Genomic DNA, 3,641 nt, shown 5'->3' with positions numbered 1-3,641 from the left:
ATGAATGATGAGATGAAATGATAAGAGGAGATGATGAGATGAAATGATGAGATGAAATGATGAGATGAACTGATGAGATGAAATGAAATAATGAAATAATGAGATGAATGATATGAAATAATGAAATAAAATGAAATTGAAATAAAATTGGAATGAGATGAGATGAAATGATAAGATGAAATGATGAAATAAAATGATGAAATGATGAGATGTGATGAGATGAAATGATGAGATGACATGACATGAAATAATGAAATGAAATAATGAAATGAAATTGAGATGAGAAGATACGAGATGAGATGAAATGATGAGATGAAATGAGTTGATGAGATGATGAGATGAAATGATGAGATGAAAAGATGAGATGAAATGATGAGATGAAATGAAATGATGAGATGAAATTAGATGAAATGTAATGAGATGAAATGAAATGACATAATGAAATGAAAAAATGAAATGAAATAATGAAATGAGGTGAAATTAAATGAGATGATGAAATTAAATGATGAAATGGAAATGAAATGGAAATGATGAGATGAGATGAAATGATGAGATGAATGATGAGATGCAATGATGAGATGAAATGATGAGATGAGATGAGATGTAATGATGAGATGTAATGAAATGAGATGAAATGAATGAGATGAAATGAAATAATGAAAGGAAATTGAATTGAGATGAGATGAGATGAAATGATGAGATAAAATGAGATGAAATAAGAAATGATGAGATGAAATGATGAAATGATGAGATGAGATGAAATGATGAGATGAAATGAGATTAAATGATGAGATGAAATGATGAGATGAGATGTGATGAAATGAGATGAAATGATGACATGATATGATGACATGAAATCAGATGAAATAATGAGATGAAATGAGATGAAATGATGAGATGAAATGATGAGATGAGATGAAATGAGGTGAGATGAAATGTGATGAGATGAAATGACATAATGAAATGAAATAAATGAAATGATGAAATGGAAATGATGAGATGAGATGCAATGAGTTGAAATGATGAGATGAAATGATGAGATGAAAAGATGAGATGAGACGAGATGTGATGAAATGATGACATGAAATGACATAAAATGAGATGAAATAAGATGTAATGATGAAATGAGATGAAATGATGAGATGAGATGAAATGAAATGGTGAGATAAAATGATGATATGAAATGATGAGATGAATGATGAGATGAAATAGATAAGAGGAGATGATGAGATGAAATGATGAGATGAACTGATGAGATGAAATGAAATGAAATAATGAAATAATGAGATGAAATGATATGAAATAATGAAATAAAATGAAATTGAAATAAAATTGAGATGAGATGAAATAAGATGAAATGAAATAAAATGATGAAATGATGAGATGTGATGAGATGAAATGATGAGATGACATGACATGAAATAATGAAATGAAATAATGAAATGAAATTGAAATGAGATGAGAAGATACGAGATCAGATGAAATGATGAGATGAAATGATGAAATGATAAGATGAAATGAGTTGATGAGATGATGAGATGAAATGATGAGATGAAAAGATGAGATGAAATGAGATGATGAGATGAAATTAGATGAAATGAAATTAGATGAAATGTAATGAGATGAAATGAAATGACATAATGAAATGAAATAATGAAATGAGGTGAAATTAAATGAGATGATGAAATTAAATGATGAAATGAAATAATGAAATGGAAATGAAATGGAAATGATGAGATGAGATGAAATGAGATGAATGATGAGATGCAATGATGAGATGAAATGATGAAATGATGAGATGAGATGAGATGTAATGATGAGATGTAATGAAATGAGATGAAATGAATGAGATGAAATGAAATAATGAAGGAAATTGAATTGAGATGAGATGAGATGAAATGATGAGATAAAATGAGATGAAATAAGAAATGATGAGATGAAATGATGAAATGCTGAGGTGAGATGAGATGAAAGGAGATGAAATGATGAGATGAAATGAAAGGATGAGATGAAATGACGAAATGAGATGAGGTGAGATGAGATGAAATGAGATGAAATGAGATGAAATGATGAAATGATGAGATGAGAAGAAATGAGATGAAATGAGGTAAGATGAGATGAAATGATGAGATGAGATGAAATGAAATAAAGTGAAATGAAATGAAATAATGAAATTGAGATGAGACGAAATGAGTTAAACTGATGAGATGAAATGAGAAGAAATGAGATGAAATGATGAAATGAGATATGATGAGATGAAATGATGAGATAAAAATGATGAGATGAAATGATGAGATGAATTGAAATGAGATGAAATGATGAAATGATATTGAAATGAAATTGAAAGATGAGATGAGATGAAATGATGAAATGTTGAAATGAAATGATGAAATGAAGAGATGCGGTGAGATGAAATGATGAGCTGAAATGATGAGACAAAATGAAATGAAATGAGATTAAATGAGATGAAAAATGATGAGATGAAATGATGAGATGAAATGAGATGAGATGAATTGAGATGAGATGAGATGAAATAATGAGACTAGGTGAAATAATGAAATGAGATGAAATGAAATAATGAAATGAAATTGAAATGAGATGAGAAGAAATGATGAGATGAAATGTTGAAAGGAGGAAATGATGAGATGAGATGAAATGATGAGATGAAATGAATTGAGATGAAATGATGAGATGAAAAATGATATGAAAAATGATGAGATGAAATGAGATGATATGAAGTGACATAATGAAATAAATGAAATTAGATGAAATTAAATGAAATAGTGAAATGAAATAATGAAAATGAAATGGAAATGAGTTGAGATTTGATGAAATGATGAGATGATATGAGATGAGATAAAATGAGATGAAATGATGAGATGAAATGATGAAATGAGATGAAATGATGAGGTGAAGTGATGCACTGTCACGTGTGTGTCTATTCTTTTTCCCAACCAACAAAAATTATAATTCATTTTAATTTTATTATTTAAGAATATTCTTAAGAGTTGAAGGAAAAATAATATCTACATTATGGGTTACAATCTAAGTATAAATAATACATAAATATATTAAAACTTACAAAGAATACGTTTTGGAATCAAATATACCATGCTTCTGTGATGACAGTTATTTCATGCTGGTTGTCACAATTTTACATGAAAAACTAATGAAAAAATGTTTTTAACTGTTTCTAAAAATAAGTTTCCAAAAGAGTTTTACATTCAAAATATGAAAAAGATGTCTTTGCGTTTCTTAATCTGATGAGATTTTCACACTCTGCACATGATAATTGTTAGATTTTTATTGTGTTGATAAATTGTATATCAAATAAAAAATGTTATTACCTCTTAGGATTTTTAGGTGATATAGGCAGAAAGGAGGGCAAGTTTTTATAACTTTGTCTAAATGAACTTTCTAAATGCCTGAGTATTAAAAGATAACGTCTATAAATCACAATGTATATATTACTGTATGACCTAGGACCAATCAAAACCGTTATCTCTGATAACATTATATTGTGCCCAATATAAAATAGATATAATAATACCTCAAACTTAAATCCAGGCATTGTCATTGAATATCTTAGGAATATGCAGCAAAGGTGCTTTTAAAAATACAAGCTAGTGATTGTACTAAAT

This window comes from Homo sapiens (assembly GCF_000001405.40).
Source record: "Homo sapiens chromosome 16 unlocalized genomic scaffold, GRCh38.p14 Primary Assembly HSCHR16_RANDOM_CTG1".
Lineage (NCBI taxonomy): Eukaryota > Metazoa > Chordata > Mammalia > Primates > Hominidae > Homo > Homo sapiens.
This window is presented reverse-complemented; position numbering follows the sequence as displayed.